Source organism: Homo sapiens, chromosome 10, assembly GCF_000001405.40.
Source record: "Homo sapiens chromosome 10, GRCh38.p14 Primary Assembly".
NCBI lineage: Eukaryota > Metazoa > Chordata > Mammalia > Primates > Hominidae > Homo > Homo sapiens.
The window spans coordinates 94,242,424-94,268,178 of record NC_000010.11 but is presented as its reverse complement, the minus strand read 5'-3'; the positions used below and the strand labels follow the sequence as shown (position 1 = coordinate 94,268,178).

At 41.0% G+C, this 25,755-nt stretch overlaps 1 protein-coding gene across 32 annotated transcripts in view; it reads right to left on the bottom strand.

Moving 5' to 3' along the window:
- PLCE1 (phospholipase C epsilon 1) overlaps positions 1-25,755 on the bottom strand; it is a 338,893-nt gene that overhangs the window by 64,645 nt on the left and 248,493 nt on the right. For 23 of the 32 annotated variants that reach the window (XM_047425285.1, XM_047425289.1, XM_047425287.1 and 20 more), the window contains 9 exons: positions 21,558-22,233; positions 15,681-15,863; positions 13,872-13,989; positions 13,130-13,286; positions 9,257-9,379; positions 9,029-9,165; positions 5,447-5,685; positions 2,471-2,532; positions 2,221-2,386 (listed from right to left, as the gene is read on the bottom strand). In XM_047425285.1, the coding sequence (XP_047281241.1) occupies positions 2,221-2,386; positions 2,471-2,532; positions 5,447-5,685; positions 9,029-9,165; positions 9,257-9,379; positions 13,130-13,286; positions 13,872-13,989; positions 15,681-15,863; positions 21,558-22,233 (1,861 nt within the window). The remainder of the gene's footprint in view (positions 1-2,220; positions 2,387-2,470; positions 2,533-5,446; positions 5,686-9,028; positions 9,166-9,256; positions 9,380-13,129; positions 13,287-13,871; positions 13,990-15,680; positions 15,864-21,557; positions 22,234-25,755) is intronic. The other 9 variants (XM_047425297.1, NM_001288989.2, XM_047425296.1 and 6 more) reach the window with 1 other exon arrangement.

Sequence of the window (25,755 nt, the reverse complement as noted above, 5' to 3'; positions counted from 1 at the left end):
TTTGTTATCCTGGATCTGAAGTGGGAAGCAGAGCTCAATACATGTGCTTGGGTTGCAACTCTATAAAGTTTGCTTGAAGCAACCTCTTCCTCCATAGATCTGTACATCATCTTAAAAAATTATTACATACTGGAATAGTGACCCAAGCCAAGAAATTGATACATCTGTAAATGTGCCTACCCACTGATTTTAGAATGCACATAACTATTTCTGTGTGACAGCAATCCATTACTGGGGCTTAGTGGCCACTAGAGTTTCTGCAACTAAGCTCAGATAGTGGAATGATTCTCATTTTAACACTTTTATATGGGATAAGTGCTATATTCTTCCTATTTTACAGCATAGTCAGTGGCCTAGAATCTCAAGGCTATCTGCTTCTTTCAGCAGCTAGAGTATCTAGAGGTGCAGTGCCTTGGGCTGGAAATTGCTATGTAAAATGGTGGCTGGAACACCAAGCTGCTTATCTCTGTGGTGCCCCTGCCAGACCAGGAATAATGTTCAGCAACTGGCAACAGATGAGATGGCTTTTCAGCATTGAAGGACTAAAGGTCTTCACCAAAGTCTGTGTAACCTTAGATATCCACATATGGCTAGAAGAGGAAAACCTGGGCTGGAAATTCTAGATGAGAAGAACAGGGCTTATTCTCACTTCCCATTTGCCCCATGGAGTAATGTTAAGAGGTAATTAGGAAGGGCTAAGGAAGAGTGGAGAGGGGTTAGAAATGAAGTAAGAGGGATCCACCTGCACACTAGGTTTAGTCACATCTCTGAGTCTATTTGAGGGGTTCTTGTGCCTTATTCAAAAGCTGTGAGAGTCTCTCCTTGGGGTGTGATATTAAGAGGTTTAAAAACTGTTTGAAGTCAAACAGAGGAATGAAATAGAAATTAAAGCCAGGACACTGGTCCTTGTTTATTTCCCTGGGATAAATGTGGATACACACAAGTACATAAATATACATAGATATGTATATATGCACTTACACATATATGTACACGCATGTATATGTGTGTACCTACAAATGTGTATATGAAATATATATAAGTATCTGTATTTATATGTATATTTAATTTCATTCCTATAGAATAATGGATTTCAAACTTCTTTTAACTTTGGCATTCTGTGTGCGAAGGGAGGGCCAGTATGTAGTGTGTAGAGGAGTAGTACATTACCTGAAATGGGGCAGCGTATGGCACCCCTCCTACTCTCTGGCTTCCTCATCTCAGTGTGGGGGGCTGAGGCCCCATGACAGAACTTCTATTTTGAAAATCACTGCTCTAAGAACACATCTTCATTCATAATAAAGTTTCCTTAGAAAATAGAGTTTAAAATACATATTCCCGCTAAGCAAGCTTTGGGACAAAAAATTGCCCCATGCTTTGAGGAATATCTGGACTAATCTGGAGAACAAAGAAACCTCACTGGTGCTGGGGTTATGTAAACAATACACCTGTAGTTTTCAAACCTGGACCCACGTGTGCACACAATGACACACTTATATTCCCTGCCTGGCTCCAACCGAATTGACCCTTCTTGAAAGAGTTAAGAAAAAAGGCAGAATAGATGAGGAAGCTGCAGACCATCCAGCAGAGAGGCAATGGACACGCAGATCATTGCAAGTTGGATGTTTAGGTCAAAAGGATGTACTTTTTCTAGTCTAGAGAACCTACTGAGTTTCAAAGAACATTCTGATGAATTTAATGTGTAGGGACAGTGCCTAAAGTCTGTGTAGATTTTTTTCTGCATTTTTTTTGGTTACCATAGGGATAGATTGATTATTTAACAAACTGAAAAGCAAAACAAACAATATTTTGGGAATAAGTACATAGGAAGTTGCATTTTCTACTATGCTTTCCCACTACAATATATTATTTAGCAGTTAGAGAGACGATTAGATAATTTTCCCATGGGAAAATCTAATTTTAGTGGGAGTAGGTCAGACTAACTAGGATCTAAAAGCTATGAGTCTCAAACAAACACTTTCATTTTGGCCCAGAATAAAGGTTAAGTATAGATGGGGGAAAACAAAACAAAAGAAGTAAAGAAAACGACTGCTGTAGTATAGCCAGTTTTCCCACACATCATGGTTCCTCACATTTGACATGTAATAGCTTACTCTATAAGCTCTTCAAAGGAGTCTGGGGTCAGGTTTTTTTGACTTTGGGGGTTACATAAATAATTAGGTTTAATAAAAACCACATTCCAAGTGGCATTCCCTGTACCTGGCTGTAGAGTTCTACCGAGGATTCTCCTTTGAGCTGATGGCCCGTGAGGTAGGTATTGTGCGAAGATTCGATGTAATAGTATGAGAGGGGTAGCTGCAGTTCTTTAATGTTCTCCTGTGACTCATCATTTTTTGAGGCAAAATTTTCTTTATCCATCAGAAACCTAGGTGAAACAAATTTTCTTAAGACTGCATGGGAAAAATGCATCTACTCTTAAAAGATGGGCAAAAGATATTTTAAAAGTTACCTGGCAAACCCTTCAAATGACATTAGTCCCTGATGACACATACTGATGCTAGGCTCGAACTTCTGCAAGGGATTAAAAAAAAAAGTGTTATTTAGGTTAAGGAAACTAAGAGGGGGAAAGAAACCACCACATCATTTTTTAAAGCTGTTCTGTTTTCATCAGGAAACATCTAAACCAAATATTTGAACTAATTTAGTAACGTAGTGGTAAGAAGTAGTTTTTAGTCCAAAAGAAAACATTTATTATATGTGAGTTTATTATACTAAGCATATTTATTTAATAGAAAAAAGAAGAGAATGAGAAAAGAAGGCTGATTTCTATGAAAACAAAGTGTATCAGTTTATCCAGGTGAAAATGGGGATAATAATAGCAGCTACCATAAAGTTGGTGAGAGGTGAACTGAGATGATTCACATAGAGCACTTAGTGCCATGCCTGTATTTAGTAAAATCATAATGAGCACTCAACAGTGTGATAGTAATCTCACAATTTTAGCATTTTCGGTGATCAAATCCAACTGCTGGACAACTAATACACTGATACCCAGTCAGGTGATAAGGGAGGTTGAAACCTAGACTCATTTGTTGCATGGAGCCACACCGCTCCTCTCTGCTGACACCCTGTAGTGTAAACCTTCACCAGCTATTGCTGGTTACTATGATAGCTTCCTAAGCAGTCTCTCTGCATCTGTTCCTTCACCCACACAGTTTACAATGGGGCCAGAGTAACCACTTAAAATTTTGTTTTAGAGACAGGGTCTTACTATATTGCCCAGCCTGGCCTCAAACTTCTGGGCTCAGGCAATCCTTCTGCCTCAGCTTCCTGAGTAGCTGGGACTACAGGTTTGTGCCACCATGCGTGGCTCAGAGTAATCTCATAAAAAATAAATCAGCCAGGCGCGGTGGCTCACGCCTGTAATCCTAGCACTTTGGGAGGCTGAGGTGGGTGGATCACGAGGTCAGGAGTTCGAGACCAGCCTGGCCAACATGGTGAAACCCCATCTCTAGTAAAAATACAAAAATTAGCTGGGCATGGTGCTGTGTGCCTGTAATCCCAGCTACTTGGGAGGCTGAGGCAGGAGAATTGCTTGAACCTGGGAGGCGGAGGTTGCAGTGAACAAAGATCGCGCCACTGCCCTCCAGCCTGGGTGACAGAGCAAGACTCTGTCTCAAAAAAAAAAAAAAAAAAAAAAAAAAATCAAATCATGTTACTCCCCTGCTCAAAAATTTCAGTGGTATCCCATTTCACATGGACTAAAGCCAACCTCCTTATCAAGCTCTAAAAGGCCCGGATGATTGGGCCCTTGCACATCTGTCTGACACCATGCCTGCCATTCTCTGCCTGGCTTGTGCAGCTCACAGTACACCAGCTTTTTGTGGTTCCTCATAAACCCCCAGCTTGCTGCTGTCTTGGTCTTTGACCTTGTGGCTCCCTGTGGGGAATGCTCTTTCCCGAGACCATCAAACTGGTTATTGACTTAGGGCTCAGTCCAAATGCCACCTCTTCCAAGTGGCCTTTGCTTACTCTCCTCAGCCCACCTCCTGTATCATTCCATTCCTTTACTTGACTCAGTTTTTCCCCTACCCCATTATTACCTGAAATTACATCGTATCTTTGTTGTCTGCCTCACCTTCTAGAATGTAAGCTGCATTGAGGACCAGAACTTTTATCTTATTCTCTGCTATATTCCCACCTCCTAAAACTGAGCCAGCATAGTAGGAACTAGTGCATGTTCATTTAATGACTAATGAGGTTGAAAACCTAGACTAAATCTGTTGCATGTTCTAGAATAACAACAAAAAATTATGTACCAACTCCTTATAATAGTTACTGAGTTAGAGAAAGCCTGGGACCTACATTAATATGTAATAATACACTAATAATATGTTAATATTATTACACTAATAATGTTAAAGAAGAACATATAATATGTTAAAGAAAAACATATTATGTAATAATACACTAATAATATGTTAAAGAAGAACACTTACATACTTGTTTTTTGTTTGTTTTTTTGAGACAGGGTTTCGCTCTGTTACCCAGACTGGTGTGCGGTGGTGTGATCTTAGCTCACTGCAACCTCTGTGACTCCTGGGCTCAAGCGATTCTCGTGTCTCAGCCTCCCAGGTAGCTGGGATTATAAGCGTGGACCACCATGCCTGGCTGATTTTTCTTTTTCTTTTTTTTTTTTTTTTTGAGATGGGGTCTTGCTCTGTTGCCGAGGCTGGAATGCAGTGGTGTGATCTCAGCTCACTGCAGTCTCTGCCTCCCGTGTTCCAGTGATTCTCCTGCTCCACTCTCCCAGGTAGCTGGGATTACAGGCACGCACCACCACACCTGGCTAATTTTTGTATTTTTAGTGGAGATGCAGTTTCACCATGTTGGCCAGACTGGTCTTGAACTCCTGATCTCAGGTGATCCACCGGCCTCAGCCTCCCAGAGTGCTGGGATTACAGGCATGAACCACCACACCCAGCCCATACTTGGTATTTTGTTAAAAAACATACTTGGTATTTTGTTAAAAAAACAAAACAAAACAAGGTCGGGCGCAGTGGCTCACGCCTGTAATCCCAGCACTTTGGGAGGCCGAGGTGGGCAGATCACGAGGTCAAGAGATTGAGACCATCCTGGCCAACATGGTGAAACCCCATCTCTACTAAAAACACAAAAATTAGCTGGGCGTGGTGGCGCACACCTGTAGTCCCAGCTACTCAGGAGGCTGAGGCAGGAGAATCGTTTGAACCTGGGAGGCGGAGGTTGTAGTGAGCCGAGATCACACCACTGCACTCCAGCCTGGCCACAGAGTAAGACTCTGTCTCAAAAACACCCAAAAAAACAAAAAAAAAAACAAAACTGTATATCTGTCCCAGATTTAAAGGCTTTGGAAAGAAGTATAGAAAGAATAAACATTTAGCAGCAAATTATTAGAATAGCCAGAGGCATCACACACACATGCACACACAAAACAGGCACAAACCTGGATGATGCTGAGGATTTCATCATAAGTGCAGTGTTCTCCTTGGCAATTCACGAGGAAATCGTTGAGCTGAAGTATGCCCACCCCAAAAATGCCCAGAGATGTGCTCTCAATCCCAGTGCCATTTGTCACAATGCTTGCAGCAGCAATGGCATCAGATATCTGCCTCTGGTTGTCCGATAGCTGCTGTTTACTCTTAATGAACAACCCCAAATCCGAGACATTTCTGGTCAACAGATCTGAAACAGAATCACCACAGTACATGGACAAGATAGCCAGCATCTTTTGCAAAGTTCATTTTGGAGATAATGGTGTGGAGTTATTAAAATGGAGAAGCTCTTTACTAATGTACCTAAACAAGCCATCAAAGAAGTGTTTATTTCTGGCTTCACATAGTGATAGGAATAAAAAACAAATCAATGAATAAATAAAGGCTGAGCATGGTGGCTCATGACTGTAATCCTAGCACTTTGGGAGGCTGAGGCAGGTGGACCACCTGAGGTCTGGAGCTCAAGACCAGCCTGGCCAACATGGTGAATCCCCGTCTCTACTAGAAATACAAAAATTAGCCAGGCATGGTGGTGTGCACCTGTAGTCCCAGCCACTCGGGAGGCTGAGGCATAAGAGTTGCTTGAACCCAGGAGGCGGCGGTTGCAGTGAGCCAAGATTACGCCACTGCACTCTAGCCTGGGCAACAGAGTGAGAGTCTGTCTCAAAAAAAAAAAAAAAAAGGAAAAGAAGACAGAGCTAGGTTGATGATCTTGATATCCCATGTGGTATTACATGGCAACTAAATGTAGGTTCAGCTGGGGACTTAGGTGAAATTCAGGCTTTGGTTTTAGGGAGTAACTACTTGCACATTTTTGTTTGTAGAGATTGAAGATATACCCTTAAAATTACAGTTTTACTGTTTAATATAAGCATTTGTTTACAGATTTTTATGTGAATATAAATTTTTCAACTCATTTGGGTAAATACCAAGTACTGTAATTGCTGGTCACATGGAAGGAATATGTTTAGCTTAGTAAGAAACTGCCACACTGTCTTCCAAAGTGGTTGTACCAGTTTACATTCCCACCTGCAATGTTCCAATTGCTTCACATTCGCACCAACTTTGGTATGGCCATTTTAATTTTAGCCACTTTGGAAGACAGTCTGGCAGTTTCTTATGGAGCTAAACATAGGCTTACCATATGATCCAGCAATTGCACTCTTAGGTATTTACCCAAATGATGGAAAAACTTATGCCCACACAAAAACCTGAATACAAATGTTTATAGCAGCTTTATTCATAATTGCTAAAACTTGGAAGCAACCAAGATATACTTCAGTAGGTGAATGGATAAACAAACTGTAGTACCTCCGCAAAATGGAATGTTACCCAGGGTAAAAAGAAATGGGCTACCAAGCTGCAAAAAGCCACGGAGGAAGGAAACTTAAATGCATATTGCTAAGTGAAAGACGCCAGTCTGAAAATGCTATGTACTGTGTGATTCCAACTATATGACATTCTGGAAAAGGCAAAACTATGGAGATAATAAAAAGAGCAGTGGCTGCCAGGGATTTGGAGGGAGGTCGCGGGGGGGATGGAAAAATGAAGCATAAGGAACTTTCAGGGCAGTGAAACTGTCCTGTATGATACTGTAAAGGTGGATACATGTCATTACACATTTGTCAAAACCCATAGAATGCACAACACAAACAGTGAATCCTAACGTTAACTATGGACTTCAGTTCATCATAATATATCAATATTAACTCAATTGTAACAAATGTACTACACTAATGCCAGATATTACTAACAGAAGAAAGTCTGTGTGGGAGAGTAGAAGAGAGTATATTGGAACTCTGTACTTTCCACTCATTTTTCCATAAACCTAAAATTGCTCTAAAAATAAAGTCTAAGCTGGGCATGGAGGCTCATGCCTAAGATCCCTGCACTTTGGGAAGCTGAGGCAGGAGGATTGCTTGAGGCTAGGAGTTTGAGAGCAGCCTGGTCAACAGAGCAAGACCCTGTCTCTACAAAAAATTACATTATTTTAAAATAATAATATTTTAAAATAAAACAAAAATAAAAAATACATGAAAATCATGATAAATAATAAAATAATAAAATATAATAGAACAAAAAATAAAGTCCAATAATTTTTGAAAAATGTAACTACTTGACTAATCCATGGTTATGGAGATTTTATGACTAAAGTTGAACAATACTTAATAGTCTTAGCTCAAGGACAACATAAACTTATAAATAATTATGAAGCAACTGCATAAAAGAGGAAAGTTTTTTGTTTTGCTATTTGTGTTTATAGTTTCCAGGAAGAACAGAGGAGGAAAATGATAGGCTGGAAATGCATAAGTGGTTAGAAAATGCATGGGTGGTGATAGTAATGGTGGTGGTGGTGAGTGAGATAGAAGAATGAGACATTCTTGTTTATACAGTAGGAAATATATCCTGGACAATCATTCAGACAGAAGTACCCTGTGGAAGGCGCTAAAGACTCTCCTTGTCAAAGGGCAGGAGACTACTGCCCTGTGATTGAACACACAACTGTCTGTAGGTAGGGAAGAGACTGGGGGTTCTCCACTGTGACACACACCACATACCTAGCAGACATTTGGAAATGGTCAGTGATATGGTTTGGCTGTGTCCCCACCCAAATTTCATCTTGAATTGTAGCTCCCACAATTCCATGTTGTGGAAGGGACCTGGTGGGAGGTAGTTGAATCATGGGGGCAGGTCTTTCCCATGTGAAAATGTTCTCATGATAGTGAATAAGTCTCATGAGATCTGATGGTTTTATAAAGGGGAGTTTTTCCTGCACAAGTTCTCTTGTCTGCTGCCATGTGAGACACGCCTTTCATCTTCTTCCATGATTGTAAGGCCTCCCCAGCCAGGTGGAACTGTGAGCCCCTTAAACCTCTTTTTCCTTATAAATTACCCAGTCTTGGGTATGTCTTCATCAGCAGCATGAAAATGGACTAATATAGTCGGGAAAGGGTTTTTGGTTGTCAGAATGACTGGAAGGCTTTATTGGTTAAATAAATACATGGGCAGAACCACACAATGATGAATTTCTTTGCTCAAAATGCCAGTAGCACCTGCTCCCTCAACACCAGATGACACCTTAAAATAATTCTCTAAGTGTTGGCCAGGTGAGGTGGCTCATGCCTGTAAACTCAGCACTTTGGGAGGCTGAGGTGGCAGATCACGAGGTCAGGAGATCGAGACCATTCTGGCTAACATGGTGAAACCCTTGTCTCTATTAAAAATACAAAAAATTAGCCAGGCATGGTGGCACATGCCAGTAGTCCCAGCTACTCAGGAGGCTGAGGCAGGAGAATCAATTGAACCCGGGAGGTGGAGGTAGCAGTGAGCTGAGATTGCACCACTGCACTCCAGCCTGGGCTACAGAGTGAGACTGCATCTCAAAAAAAAAAAAAAAATTCTCTTAAGTCTTTCCCTACACAGCAGTAATAGCACACTATGTGGGACAGGCTCAGAGTTTGTGTGACTGGACCTCTGACCTTAAGTTTTAGACAGATTGATCCCAAAGGGAAATCCTAAAATGTTCAACAAACCTAGGTCAGGCTGAAGATCGCTGGTGTTTTCATCAATTGTCAGGTTGGTGTAGAGTGGGGCTGACTCGGAGCCAGATCGGTTGCAGGGCACTGCATAGACATCAAACAGATCCTTCAGGTCCTTGCGGCTCCTGACACTGAATGAGGAATGGAAAACACCTCTCATTGAGTATCTTTATAGAAATGGGGGGGCCTGAGAAAGAATAAGAAGGAAACATAAGACTGTACCTGAATGATTTGAACAGCTCAACAAATTCAACAAAACTCATGTTGCTATCTGAAACCATGAAGCTCTGAAATCCCTTCATGCCGCCTTTGATCCGCCCGTGCCAGCTACTACTGCTCCAAGCACTGCAACAAAGACAAGGCCTTCATGGGCACAAGGGCAGGCCACTGTTGTGATTCTGTCCCACCAGACTTGCTCCAATTAGCAATATGAGCAAAAGGATGAGTGCAAGTTATTTAAGATTGAAGCTATTTTCCAGTACTCTCTTTTCACATCTCTTAACCTATATTGTATCAGAGGAAATAAAACATGTTCTATGTGAAAAAGAAAACATGTTTCTAGTCTATTTAATAAGGGCCCAGGGCTGAGGTTAATATTCCTCTATTAATCAAATCAGTTCTTTGAAATTGCAGATCAATGGGCAAAATAACTCAGTGTTTCTGAAGATGTCTATTAAAAAGAGCCCCAAATTACTCACTCTTAATCTATGGGAAATAATGCACGTTCTTTTCTATATTCTAAGTTATAGAATTACATTTAAGAAGAAACCTTTGAGTGTATTGTCTGATTCCTTTCTTAACCAGTCCTTAGATGAAAACAGAGAAGAGCTTTTAAATATTAATGAAAAATGTGAACCGGAAAAATGTTAAGAATGGAAAGGGCTGGGTGCGGTGGCTCATGCTTATAATCTCAGCACTTTGGAAGGCTGAGGTGGGAAGATTGCTTGACCCCAGGTGTTCGAAACCAGCCTGGCCAACATAGTGAGGCACTGTCTCTAATTTTAGAAAATTTAAAAAAGAATGGAAAAAAGCCAGCTTTGACTAGGATTATATTTGCACCTTCCAAGGCTGCATCTATTCAATGTAGAAATATCAGTCAACTCAGAACAGACTTACTGTTTCACAACATTTTTTATTTTCTATACTGATTTCCTGACACAATGGTATGAGAGATGTTTTGATTATGGTTTGTAGTCAAATTAATGAACAGGATCTATTTTTTAAATTATACTTTAAGTTCTAGGGTACATGTGCACAATGTACAGGTTTGTTACATATGTATACATGTGCCATGTTGGTATGCTGCACCCATTAACTCGTCCTTTACATTAGGTATATCTCCTAATGCTATCCCTCCCTCCTCCCTCCACCCCACAACAGGCCCTGGTGTGTGATATTCCCCGCCCTGTGTCCAAGTGTTCTCATTGTTCAATTCCTACCTATGAGTGAGAACACGCGGTGTTTGGTTTTCTGTCCTTGCGATAGTTTGCTGAGAATGATGGTTTCCAGCTTCATCTATGTCCCCACAAAGGACATGAAGCTCATCCTTTTTATGGCTGCATAGTATTCCAATGGTGTCTATGTGTCACATTTTCTTAATCCAGTCTATCATTGATGGACATTTGGGTTGGTTCCAAGTCTTTGCTATTGTGAATAGTGCCGCAATAAACATACGTGTACATGTGTCTTTATAGCAGCATGATTTATAATCCTTTGGGTATATGCCCAGTAATGGGATGGCTGGGTCAAATGGTATTTCTAGTTCTAGAGGACCTGTTTTTTTTTGTCTTGGATTTTAAAAGTTTTTTTTGAAATATTTCAAATATATAAGAAAGTATAGAGAATATCATGAAGTCTATTTTATGTATATTAAATATATAATCTAAAAACTATATATTTAAGACTATAAATATAAAATATATAGTTTGTTGAAGTGACTCTCAACCCTGCTAACAATGTTCACTCATGGAAAATTAATTTGTGCTGACATTTGAAGGTCACCTTCAGCAATGAAAGAGCACTACAAATTGATAGCTTTTTAGCATTTTGTAGTCATAGGTTGTAGGTTGTCGATCCCCAGTGTAGTGCAGGAAACATAGGGTAGAGGTGCAGGAAGAGGAAAAAGGTGACTTCATCATTTGCAGCTAAAGAAGTAAATTTCCTGTCTTGCTTCTTTCTGGTTGCAGATCCAGCTACTGTCTGTAGGAACCCATCTCCCTTTGATTCTAGGAAACTCTGTTTGTCCACTCTTCCCACTATCAGACTTAGGATTCAGTCTAGCTTTCTCCCTTAATAGCATTCAAGCTGATTTTTCCTCCTGTCTTGTGTTTTCTTTCTGTTTTAAAACACTTGAGTGGGTGCTGATCCCTGTCCTCCTGGGGTTGGCCTTCTGATCTTGCATCTGGCATGTTAATTTCTCTTTTTAAAATATTTTCCTCCCTTACTTCGTCCTTTCTTTTCCTGCTCATGAATGATTGAAATAAACGGGAAATGCCATTTAATCCAGGTTCCTTGCTGTTTACCCAGGATACTACACAGGCTGAAAGTATAATAAACAGGATTCTGATTTTTGTAACTTTTAGTTTTGTTATGAATCTAAATTTACATAAAAGTTGCAAGAGTGGTACAAAGAATTCCCATATAACCTTGACCCATGCTCACCCATTGTAGAATGTGAATGTATAAAGCATAAATTATAAGTTCATTGCTCACATTGTGAAAGAATTTTTATTTAAAAGATAATTTACTGTAGGATTCTTTTTTCTTTCTATTTTCTGTTTCTTTTTCTTTCTTTCTTTCTTTCTTTTTTTTTTTTTTTTTTGAGACAAGCTCTCACTCTGTTGCCTAGGCTGGAGCGCAATGGCATGATTATGGCTCACTGCAGCCGGAACCTCCCAGGCTCAAGTGATACTCTCACACCTCAGCCTCCTGAGTAGCTGGGACCAGAGGTGAGAACCACCACACCCGCTAATTGTTTTACTTTTTGTAGAGATGGGGTTTCTGTTGCTCAGGCTGGTCTCGAATTCCTGGGGGCTCAAGTGATCCTCCTTCCCTGACCTCCTAAAGTGCTAGGATTACATGTGAGAGCCACCGTGCCCAGCCAGGATTGTTAATAAGAAGCTTCCAAGAGAAAGAGAGAGAAAGGGAGAAAGAGAGAGAGGGGCGTGGGGAGAGAGGGAGGGGTGGGGAGAGAGAGAGAGAGAGAGAGAGAGAGAGAGAGAGAGAGAGAGTGTGTGTGTGTGTGTGTGTGTGTGTGTGTGTGTGTGAGATAAAGTAAAGAGTTCCTGTTTTAGCTTGGTTCTGTCTGGAACCTCCACATCTCTTAAACTTTAATGTGGGATACAGGAGGATGGAGCAGCATTCTGGTTCCCTTTGGAAGTCTGCCATTTTAATATCATTCCTTCTTCTGAGAGGGAAGATATTGTTTCAAATATGTAATTTGCATGGAACTTATAAAGTAATTTATCCAGCTTTAGATTTATACTTAAACATATCCAACTTGCTGTGATACTTGAATTCATTCCTCTAGACATGCATAACTTACATATGAGAAAAGTATTAAATATATTTCATCGATTAGCAAAGGGGCCAAATAGTTTACATTAAAACAATCTATTCTCTCTTCTTCGTTTAGAGCAGTGCTATCCAATAGAACTTTCTGCAATGATAAAAAGAAATGTTCTCTATCTACACTCTTTGGGATAATAACCATCAGCTTCTTGTGGCTATGGAGCACTTGAAATGTCACTACTGTGACTGAGGAACTGAATTTTAAATTTTCTTTAATTTTAATTAATTTACATTTGAATTTAAATACCCACATCTAGTTAGTGGCTAGTGTACTGGATAGTACAGATTTGGAGAATCATGGCTTAGGTTTTGTTACTGCTACTGACCTTTGAAGTAATATGAGAAGGTAGGAGTACAAAATTGGGAGAATTAGGATCATTTAAAATTTTGGGATTTTTCAGTTTTCAGTTCAACTATACATCAAAATGTGAAATAGTCTTTCCATAGACAACTGTAAAGATATGCCCTTCCACACAACTGGAATAATGTGAAGGGTCCTTCTGTTTTATCATGTTAAGGCCCCACCTGGATGGGCTCTTGTTTGAAGAAGACAGCACAGGGGAGGACACTGGCCTGATGGGAGATGACGTCCCGGCAGCCAAGTTGGGGGACCCAGCTGTGGTCAAAGAGTGGGCTCTTCTGGAAGGGAGGGGGTTTGGAGGGTTAGCGATGGCATTCACCTCTGTGAGGATGAAAGACAGAAAAGAGAGAATGACTCAGATTATACTTTCCCTCAGAACCAAATACAAACCAGAGAGGCTTCTGGATGTCTGAGCAAATCAACCTATGCAGCTGGTTTCTATACAAGCAGCACCAAAATATCTTTATGAATGGGCTAATCTGGTGGGGTCTCAACTGGCTACATGTTAGAACTGTCTGGGAAGCTTCAAAAATAAATAAGATGTCCAGGTCCCAAGGTCCCAGCCAGAGAATATCTGAATCAGTTATTCTTAGATGTGGCCAGAGGAATCAGATTTTCTTAAAAGCTCTAATATGCAGCCAAGGTTGAGAATCACTGGTTTAATCCATCAAATTATACCATGTATATCTAATACTCCCTGTCAGTAATGGCAAGTTAATTAATGGGGATTTTATTCCAAGCACACTATGCTTGCAGAAGTACCTTTAGGTTTCATTGTCTGGTTAGGACAAAGAGTTTTGTTAGAAATGTTTGCAATGCTTAAATCACAATTTAAAACCAAATGTATACTTTTTTTCCCACAAAAATTAAAAAACAAAAATCTCAGATGTAAACATGCCGCTTTACCTGATTCTTCTTGTTCATTAATGTCTTGAGGATCAGAACCACTCCGGCTTCGACACTCTTTGTGCATCTTGGCCTTTCGGGTTGCCATCTCATCGTCAGTTACCTCTCCACTCTCACCCTGGGAACACAAAGCTCACGATGGTTCCAAGCCTGTATTTCTCTCCCATCACTGCTTTAGTTCAGGTAGGTCTCTATTTTCTGACCTACCCACCTTCAATACTGCCTCTTCCTGGTAAAACCGGTAAAGACCTACATTAAGGCTGACCGAGTATTCTCATGTCATATTATTTCAGTTGTTCTTTACTATACAGCAGTACTCCTCAGGGGAGGGAGGCAGACAAGAGGCGGCACAGAACCTCCGGAACCTCTGTGTACAGAAAAAAACTGTGAAGCAGATAAAATTTGACATGAGCATCAAAGCCTCCCATAAGCAAAGAGAGTGGCACTTTTTCTAGATAGATGATATGGTTTGGATGTTTGTCCCCTTCAAATCTCATGTTGAAATGTAATTCCCAGTGTTAGAGGTGGGGCCTAGTGGGAGGTGTTTGGATCATGGGGGTGGATCCCTCATGAATGGCTGAGGATCATTCCCTTGGTGATGAGTGAGTTCTAGCTCTGACTTCACACAAGATCTAGTTATTTAAAAGTGTGTAGGCTGGGTGTGGTGGCTCATGCCTGTAATCCCAACACTTTGGGAGGCTGAGACAATAGGATTACTTAAGGCCTGGAGTTCGAGACCAGCCTGGGCAACATAGTGAGACCCTGTCTCTATAAAAAATAAAAAAAATTAGCCAGGCATGGTGGTGTACACCTGTGGTCCCAGATACTTGGCAGGCTGAGGCAGGAGAACAGCTTGAGCCCAGGAGTTTGAAGCTGCAGTGAGCCATGATCACACCACTGCACTCCAGCCTGGGTGACAGAGCAAGACCCTGTTTCTAAGAGAAAAAAAAAGTGTGTGGCACCTCTCCCCTTCTCTCTCACTCCTGCTCTTGCCATGTCATGCGCTGGCTCCCGCTTCACCTTCTGCCATGACTGTAAGCTTCCGGAGGCTGTCACCAGAAGCAGATGCTGGCACCATGCTTCCTGTACACCTGCAGAACTGTGAGTCAATTAACCTTCTTTCTTTATAAATTACCCAGCCTCAAGTATTTCTTTATAGCAACACAAACAAACAAATAGCCATGAAGCAAATATATTATCACTTCATAGTGATATTTCATATTATATAGTTTATAATACACAGTGCTAATATACTTTACATTGTGTTCTACACACAGTATTTGGGGCCTCTGTGATCTCTGTTCTCTTCTAGCCCTTCCTTGCCCACAGAGTGCTCATGCTCTAGCCATCCAGAACAGCATGTGCTTCCTTGAACAAGCTGTCTTTTATGCCTCTATGCTGTCTCCTCTGCTGGGGATACTTTCTCCTATGTTCTTTGCTTGGTAAAATCCTACACGTTCTTCAAGACCTGCGTGTCAGTTGCTCTGTGGAGCCCTCTGTGCCTGCCCCTCAGCTCTCTATTTTCCTTCTCTCTGCCCCCACAGCACTTTGTGGGTGACTCAACGATGTCTCTTTTTAGCTCGCACTGTGTTTGTTTACATGTCTATGTCCTTCTGCGGACCTTGTCTTTTCCCTGGTGTTCCTGGCACTAGCATGGCACCATGGAGGTATGTGGTAAGCCCTTGTATCTTCTATTTTATACCTGACTTTGTCCTCAACCCAAACAACCTTAAGTGTTTTATGGTGATGTTCACCATACAGCGGTCCTGGAAGATGGGTTTAATGCTTAATAAACAAATAACACTCTACCCTCATGAGGATTTTCTTCTTTTTCTTGGTAGTGCTTATGCCCAGGGTATTGTTTCTCTGCATATTGGGCTTCTCAGCATTCTTTGCTGATGTTCCGGGGCTGGGGTTTCGAGCACTCCACCGTCTGCCACCAAACAACTCCACAGCGTGAGCCAAAGTTGGGCCTTCATACCGTCCATCCTCCTGTGAAAGAGCCACATGGTGAACACAATAGGAAGCATCAAGCAATGGGGAAGTAAATATATTAATGTCTCCCAGAAAATTCCAAGAGGTGGAAGAGCACAGACGGCCACAGAAGAATAATGATCTGGCCACCCAAGTGACTGTTTTCTAACTCACAAGATTCTCTGTCAGGAATTTCATCATGTCCCCCGTTGTCCTGGTCACATCACTGCTGAGTTCCAGTGACATGCTTTAATACATCAACTGGGGAACAAAAACTTCCCATCCCATTTACAGAGGTTAAATTGCAGAACTACCACTGTAGGAAAATTCATTTAGACTTACTTTGCAAATTAGGGCCTTGGACATCCTGGAAGGGAGAGGGGCAGGGTATCAATCTAAGTAAAATCAAGTTGTATTTGTCCATTATTGCCAGGTAGGTTTTCAACTAGTTTGATGCTTGGGACAGTCGGACTTGAAATACAGGGTGTGTGTGACATGCATGAAATTCCCTTTGAAGGGCCCCAGGGAGCTCCTAAAATAGTTGGGCTGCCATCCCCTTGAGTGGCTGAAATCTAAAGATAGGGAGCCCATGGGACTCAGAACACCATACATATTAGGATGCTCTGAGCAGCAACAACACACTCAAGGGGCAGGCAATTGTTCACAGTAGCTACTGCTTCTAAGGCAACTCTGTGTAGCATCCTGTAAGTAACAGCAGGGATCTATTAATTAAACAATTGTCAATGATTCTCCCCATAAGTCAGTTAATAAAACCACAAAAAGTTGCCTATGAGCTAAAGATGATATTGATATTTCATACACTGTATAAGCGGGCTCTTTAAAAATTAATTTCCATGTACTGTGTTTACTCTTCAAAAACATTTCAGGCTGGCTCTCCTTTGCAGTTCCAAAGAAATGCTTATGGATAGATTTTGCTTTGTTGCAGATCATATGCAAAAAACAAAGAAGCTTTGTGTGTGTGTGTGCTTGCTCCTTCAGCCTAATGTTTAATAACTATCTGATGTTATGACTTGTGCATTCCCACTTCCTGCATCCTGCTGTGGATCCCAGGATGCTGAATAACTTGGGTACTTGACAAAGAAACCTTTGGGTGACCTCTTATAGTGGGACATTGTGACTTATGGCTGTCCATGATCTGTTTCTCCCTTCTCTAACCATACCCCGATTTTACTTTAACTGTCTATTCTCCACTGGATATAGTCTCGATGGGTGTGTCAATCAAGATGAAATATCCTCCTTTGACCAATGATTGGCACATGATCCCAATAAGCCAATCAGAAGCCCCTTCCTGGAGCAGGGTTCTTGAATGCAGTGATACAGAGAATGAAAATGGTTGGAGATCAGTCCATCTGCTGGAGGCCTGCTGAAGAGAATCCCTGCTAACAAGTCACTAGGAGTGACTTCAAATTGGAATAAACATTTCATGAATGAAACCTAATGGATACGTTTTAACTACCATTTTGAATAACATACTCTGAATCTGAAAGAAGAGTAAAACTTTTATTTATGGATTTTAACCAATACATCTTTAAAAGCTTAATAGGCCCATTATAGTTTACATGTAAAATAATTGGCACCATTAACCTATACTGCTTTGATTTTTCTAATTTCAGAACATCCCAACATGGGTCAAACTTTACCACTAACAGAAATATGTTTAGGTCAGGAAAAGGAAGGATACCTTTGTTTAGTCTTTAAAGGAAGCTTTCTGGGAAGTAAAATGTAGTTTTAATCTTTCTTTTGTTTTACACAAAATAATAAACTTGTTTGGGATGGATGAAGGATATACTTTCTTCTCTTTTTTTTTTCTTGGAGATGGAGTCTCCCTCTGTCGCCCAGGCTGGAGTGCAGTGGTGTGATCTTGGCTCACTGCAACCTCCGCCTCCCGGTTTCAACTGATTCTCCTGCCTCAATTCCCAGGTGTCTGGGATTACAGGTGCGTACCACCACACCCAGCTAATTTTTGCATTTTTAGTAGAGATGGAGTTTCACCATGTTGGCCAGGCTGGTCTCGAACCCCTGGCCTCAAGTGATCCACCCACTTCGGCCTCCCAAAGTGCTGGGATTACAGCTCTGAGCCACCGCACCTGGCCTACCTTCTTTTTTTAATGTGGGAGATGGACTACTGTAAGTGAAGGCACATGTTCAATTTTAGAAAACAGTTTTTTTTTTTTTTTTTTTGAGACAGAGTCTCGCACTCTTGCCCAGGCTGGAGTGCAGTGGAGAAAACAGTTTATGTGAAAGTTGAAGATTAGAAAATAGATTCCTTAAAAAATATCCATGCACTGTTACCTCTTGGCATATCTTTGCATGTGACATTTTGAAGACCATTAAACTAATCTACATCCTTTGAATGAATCTTTTTTTTTTCCCCCACGTAAAGATAGCCAGAATCTTTTTTGCTTATAACCAAAGATATTTACCTGGTAATTCCATATTTAACTTTCTTAGCCTCCCAGAGCACCTTCCAAATACCCAGGATTATGGGCCATCAGTTCTGTCCATGATAACCTTGGGCCAAAGCTCAAGACATTGGTCTTTCCTCCACACCCCACATCAACATCTCTGCAGTTTACTTTCTTGGATTTTCCTGTATTTTTCTAGGCTTCTCTACAAATGTTATTACTTCTTCTTGTCTTCTGTGTTATCTCTTGTTACTACTTCCATCAGTAGTACTCAAATACTTGTAGTATTTGAAAGTAACTTCACTTACATTTACTACATAAGGAAATTCTAATGTCAGAATGATTATTTTCCATATAAGCACTTCCCAAACTAGGGATTAAAAAATCCTCTTATAGAGCTGTTAACAGAAGTTTGGAAAAACCCAAACATTGTTTCACAAATTTCTTTAGCTTATAGGTAAATTTAAATAGTTTTTTTTTTTAACTTTAGGGCATCTGAGAGAATTTAATTTTCTAAGAGGTATTATAAATCACCAATACAGCTATTAAACATTAACAAAAGATTTGATCTTTTGTTCTCTGAGTACTAAGTTAGCATCTTTTTGGTGATCCCTGAGTCAGTTTGGGAACTGGTTTATATGATGAGAAAATGATCAGTCCATTGGTCTTTCCAACTTTTTTCTTTCGAAAGAAATCTTGAGTGTCTGTTTCTAAGGCACGTTGCCTGACTTCATAAATGGCTCATGTAGAGAGAGCAGTGTCAAGGAATAACATCACCTATATTTCAGAAGTGGTTGAGTATGAGCTGTTTTGCCTCTACACTGTAACATCTTGGTTCTGTGCAGGGGTGGTGGGGGAGGGTGGAGCTGTGTTTGCAGCTGGGTAGGACTGAGTCTTCTCTAAGTCACTTCTGTCTCTGTTCTAGCAGCAACTCTTACCTCTTCACCTGCCGTTCGTGGTCTCAGCTGGTGCCTCCTTCAGTAAAAGCTGAAGAGTGCCAGGGTAAATGAGAAACCAAGTACCTCTTATGTATTAATTCAGTTACCTATGCTATAAGCTTGAGAAGCAGACAAATGGAACAACTAAACCACATAGACTTTGTGACAGGAATTGTAATTGAGCTCAAACACTGGTCTATGTCCATATTTGATGAATTTTCCTGATTCTAGAAGGCCAAGGAATAGCTGTAATTAAAAACTGACATTCACAATAGCTCCTGAAGACTTTTTTTTTTTTTTCCAGCTGAGTACACTGAAAGCTCCCTGTGCCCTGTGGAGTACACAGGAGGCGGGTATTTTTTGTTTGTTTGTTTGTTTTTTTGAGACAGTCTTGCTCTGTCACCCAGGCTGGAGTGCAGTGGCATTATCTTGGCTCACTGCAACCTCCATCTCCCAGGCTCAAGCGATTCTCCTGCCTCAGCCTCATGAGTAGCTGGGATTATAGGTGCATGACTAATTTTTTGTATTTTTAGTAGAGGCGGGATTTTGCCATGTTGGCCAGGCTGGTCTCGAACTCCTGACCTCAAGTGATCTACCGCCTCAGCCTCCCAAAGTGCTGTGATTACAGGCATAAGCCGCCACACACAGTCAGGTATTTGTTTTCCATTTTAGACGAGTTAACTAAAACTGGCTTTGTTCTGTGTAACATTAGGATAATTGTGTACATAGGCCTATCTGCTTATTAATCAATTAATCAAGTTAGTCACTCAGGATATGGTCTCTGCTCATAATCGTGACATGGGTGTAGGGAAAGAAGAAAGAAGGGGCATTACATGTGCCTTGTCTAACTTCCTGGGGCGAGAAATGTTTTTAATTGTCAGAAATGTATTAGAACTGTGACAAGTACATGAAATCAGGCATTTGAGTAGTTCAAGTGGTAGTTCTATTTGTTCTGTGACAATACAAAAGATATTTCTTTTTGCCATGAAGATAGAAAAGCATAGCAAAGAAAAACTGAATACTTTGACACAACTCATTTGAGAATGACACTTCAAGTGTCACCTGCTTGTGGAGTTTAAGATTTCCAAGCAATCTGTATCCTCTTTTCCCCAAGGGATGCTACTCTGGTTATGCCTGTGTCTCTTCTATCTCATTCAGCCCAGCCCTGTTGCCACGCTAAACTATAGTGTTAGAGTACCTGATAACGTAGGGTTAATGAAAGACTAATTCACTCAATGTAAGCAGCTGACTGTGAAAAACTGCCCACTAAGGGCTGCCACCACTACAAACCTAATAAAGAAGAACTCCACATAAGAATTATCCCACATTTGGAAAAATTTCTTTCAACCTTAAAGAAATTAACCCCTCACCTCTACAATTAGGCAGCAATATGCAGTAAGTTAAAGAACTCTCCAAAAGTCACATAGCATGTTAGGAAATGAACCAGGATTTTAATTTCAATAGGGACAGTTTTCAGTGAATCAGCTAGTCACTAACTAATAATAAAAGTATTCAGATAACAATGCTTTCCATTGAAACCTGAGTAAGTGAAAATGCTTATATTAACTGGTTTCTTTGCAGATGGGAGAACTACAATGATCCTGGGACTATTTTTATGTAGTATAATACAATATATAAATATAATACAAAATAAAAACCGCGACCAGGGTCATTATAGTTCTCCCATCTGCAAAGAAACCAGTTAACATAAGCATTTTCAGTTACTATAAAATCTAAGTAAAATGTATTTCATACAAAATACAAATAGGACCACCTATGAGTGCAGATACTATTCTTCATACTTATGAATTATACTGTGGCTTTACACATATTAACTTTTTTTTTTTTTTTTTTTCCTGAGACAGAGTCTTGCTCTGTTGCCCAGGCTGGAATGCAGTGGCACGATCTTGGCTCACTGCAACCTCTGCCTCCTGGGTTCCAGCGATTCTCCTGCCTCAGCCTACTGAGTAGCTGGGATTACAGGCATGTGCCACCATGCCCAGCAAATTTTTGTATTTTTAGTAGAGACGGGGTTTCACCATGTTGGCCAGGCCGGTCTCAAACTCCTGACCTTGGGTGATCCACCCATCTTGGCCTCCCAGAGTGCTGGGATTACAGGCGTGAGCCACAGCCTCAATTAATTCTCACAGCCACCCTGTGAGCAGGTGTTATTATTTCCATTTTATAGAAAAGGGGATTGGGGTACCAAGAGGTTAAGTAAAAGCTGCCCAAGGTCACCACAGGTAGTAACTGTCAGAGCTGGGAGCATGAACCTGGTGGTCTGGTCACCCAGTGTGTGCTCTTGAGTATTATGCCAGTGAGGAAAGAGGGATGGCTGCACCCCTTACCTGATAAAGGCTGACGTACTGTTTCCGCAGCCACTGCTGTCTTTGGTCAGGGAATTTCCTCATCTTTCTCACAGCTCTAGTGAGTTCCAATAATCCGCTGAAGAGCATTTTAGCTGTGTGCTTTGGTGCCACGAAGTGCAATAATCTGTTGTCTGTGGTCTGAAGCCCATAGAGCAATGTCACACCAGTCTCTGACAGGAACATGCTACCCAGTTTGTTCTGAACACACACAGTGTGTATATCAATGCCAGGGTGGCCCATGTATACAGCCTTCACTGCAAAAAGATCCAAGACCCCTTCCGTCAGGCTACTTAATCCAGCATTACCCAGTAGTGGGAATTTTCCAGGCTCAGCTGTGTTATTAAGTACACCAAGTTTTGCTTTACTGCTGGCTGGGGAGGCAGTTGTGGGCTTTACCCAGGTCAAGGTGCTATTGTCGGGCTGAAGCTGGAGGAAGCAGCGGGCAGAGAGGTGTGTGTCCTGGTCGTAGTGGATGACCGTGGCCCCCTGCAGCAGGAACTGGTGCACATCGGCTTGGATGGACAGCACGTACCAAGGGATGAGCTCCGTCCCATGGTCGAAGGCCTTCTGTGAGTCCTCTGAACCATGAGAGTCGTATTCTTTGGATTGCTCAAAGATGTCATTGTCTGAATCCAACAAATCTCCAATTATAAACCTTAAGGAAAGAAACACCAATTTGGTTTGTCTTATAATCAAGTGAGAACAACCCAAAGACATTTTCACTGACACTGGGCTTTATTTTTCATCGCACTATGAATTCAAATTAGCATAGGAAATACAAAATACTAAATAGCACACAGTAACTTCTAATAACCGAGGCCAGGTGTGGTGGCTTACGCCTGTAATCCCAGCACTTTGGGAGGCTGAGGGTGGACCACTTGAGTCCAGTAGATCAAGACCAGCCTGGCCAACATGGTGAAACCCCCTCTCTACTAAAAATACAAAAATCAGTCAGGCATGGTGGCATATGCCTGTAGTCCCAGCTACTTGAGAGGCTGAGGCAGGAGAATTGCTTGAACCCGGGAGGCGGAGCTTGCAGTGAGCTGCGATCGTGCCACTGCACTCCAGCCTAGGCGACAGAGCAAAAAAAAAATTTTGAGTAACTTTTTATAACCGTATTCTAATATTCTTTATAACTGTATTCTTATCTTTAGCAAGGTATCTGACCATAAGCATAAGAAAACAACTACTAGATGAGTTATTGTATTTTTATTCTCAACAACAATAATCTTTATTATGTATTAGTTTTCCTTCTTGTGTCAGGAACCGTGTTAAATACTTTATGTACATTTTTTGTACTAAATCCAATCTACTTGCAAGGTAAGTTTTATTATTCTTTTTCTACCTATGAGGAAACCGAGGTTCAGAAAGGGAAAGTAATTTGTTCAAGGTAACCCCTCTCAGAGGAGGCCAAGCCAAGGTGAGATTTTGGTCTAACTTTATACCTGGGATTTTCATTGTTAGGCTTGTTTGCCTTCAATTAAATCATAAACACAAGTCATGATCTGAATATACTGGGACTTTAGTCCTTTTTAGGTTTTTTTAACCTTTTTAGGTTAAAAAAGGACTTAATAGGCTGGCTTGAGAAGTACCTCTGTTAAACTGTTAAAAATAAAATACAATTAGTTCAAAGATACTCCTTGGAAAGAAAGTAGGCAGACTGCTTGAGCCCAGAAGTTTGAGACCAGGCTGGGCAACATGGTGAGATCCCATCTCTACAAAAAATACAAACATTAGCTGAGTATGGTGGCATGCCTATAGTCCCAGCTACTTAAGAGGCTGAGGTGGGAGGATTGCTGGAGCCTGGGAGGTAGAGTCTGCAGTGAGCTGTGATGGCATCGTTGAACTCCAGCCTGGGCAATAGAGCAAGACCCTGTCTCAAAAAATAAAAATAAATGACATTTAAAAAGGACACTCCTTGGGAAATATGGTCACGGTGGCCAGAAAAGCATAACAGTTCTCCTGGACTCAACCTTAGATTTCTACTCTCTCTGTGCATGTGTGTAGGTATACACAGAAAAGGCTAGTTTGCATAGAAAATTTAGCACGTTCCCTCCGCTGAGTCAGGAACCTGGATTATTTGAGCCAAGAGGATCAGAGAACAGTGAAGGCAAGCGATTGCTTCTTTCTTACATGGCCACCTTGGCAGGAACCTGCCCAAGAGTCTCATTCTTTTCAAAGCATAGGAAGTTGTTAGTAAGATCAAGGTTTCTGCTATTTGGTCCACAGACATCACCAGCAAAGTGGTGAGTAAAATTGTGAAGGAGCTGGTACATAGGCTGGTCCACGCGTCTCTGGGAAGGAAGGCTCTCATGCTCAGGAGACACTTGGGCCACCTACTGCCTCTTGATGAGGCAACGACAGTATCATGGGGCTTGTTGATACTCCTCAGTTTAGACTATGGTCCCTGAACAAGATTACCATTCTTGCTTTCAAACAGCAGGTTCTACATCCTTGCCCCACACGTGGATATTCTTTAAAAAAAAAGTCTACCACAAATATTGAATTTTAGTGTCTCACAAATCTGACGGTGAGAAAATCCATTTCAGAGCCCCATACCAGAAATAACCAAAAGTCCAGCAACAATAAAATGTATGCATAGATTTTGGTGTATTCATGCAATGTAATTCTGTACAGCAATGAAAATGAATAAGCAATAGCTAACTACATGGAATAACACAAATTTTAAGCAAGACACACAAGAATGCATATGGTATGTATTTGTGATACATAAATACATACATTTCTGTAAATGTCAATTTCAAAACCAGGCAAAAACTATACTGTACTATTTAGGAAGGCATATTAGTAGAAAAACTACAAAGAAAAACAAGATGTTATTGTAAAACTTATAATAGTAGTTTTCTCTAGGGGGAGGCTGGTAATAATTCAGAAGGGAAATAAGAAGTTTAGGGGTGCTGGCAATGTTCTAACCCTGGATGCTAGTTATGCTCAGTCACCTGATAATTATTCAAATACACTGTTTCGATAAACTTTTAATTTTAGGATAGTTTTAGATTTATAGAAAATTCCAAAGACAGTGTACCTCACACAAAAATTTCCCTATTAACATCTTACATTAGTCTGGTATATGTGTCATAATTCATGAACAAATCCTAACACATTATCACTAATTAAGGTCCACACTTTATTCAGATTTTCTTAGTTTTTAATGTCCCTTTTCTCTTCCAGGATCTCCCATTACATTTACTTGTCAGGTCTCTTTAGGCTCCTCTTGACTATGAGGGTCTCTCCTTGTTTTAGGTGCTCTTGACAGTTTGGAGGAGTACTGCTCAGGTGTTTTCTTGAAGGCCCCTCAGTTAGGACTTGGCTGATATTTTTTCCATAACTAGATGCAGGTTATGGGTTTGGGGAGGGAAGACCATAGAGGTAAAGTATCATTCTTATCACATCATATTGAGGGCACCTACTACCAACATGACTTCTCTCTGGTGATACTGATCACCTGGCTGAGGACCTGTGTGTCATGTGCCACTGTACAGTTACTACTATTATTATTTTTAACTCATTTCCATACTCTACTCTTTGGGAAAAAGTCACCATGCCCAACTCACTCTTAAGGAGTGGGGAGTTATGTTGCACTTCCTTGAGGGTGAAGAATCTGCCTAAGTTATTGGGAATTCTTTTGCACAAAAGATGGATCTCTTCTCCCCCATTTGTTTATTTATCATTTACACATATCATTTACTTGTATCAGTATGAGCTCATGAATATTAATTTAATACTTTGGGTGATTTATAATGTGATACTACTTTATTTATTTTGTTGCTGTGGCTATTGGGAGCTCTTCCAGTTGGTTCTTGTATTCCTTTCACAGCTCCCATCACTGTGTGTTTCTTTTGAGAACTTCCTTACTACAACATGCTCCAGGCTCACCTTGTGTATTTTCTGCCCCAGTCCTCGAATCAGCCTCTCTAGGAGAAACCTTGCCTCCCTTTACTGAAGAATGGTATTAGAAACCAAGATCTGGGCCATGCGCAGTGGCTCACATCTGTAATCCCAGCACTATGGGAGACCAAGACAGGTGAATCTCTTGAGGCCAGGAGTTCAAGACCAGCCTGGCGAACATGGTAAAACCCCGTCTCTACTAAAAATACAAAAATTAGCTGGGCGTGGTGGCAGGCACCTGTAGTCCCAGCTACCTGGGACGCTGAGT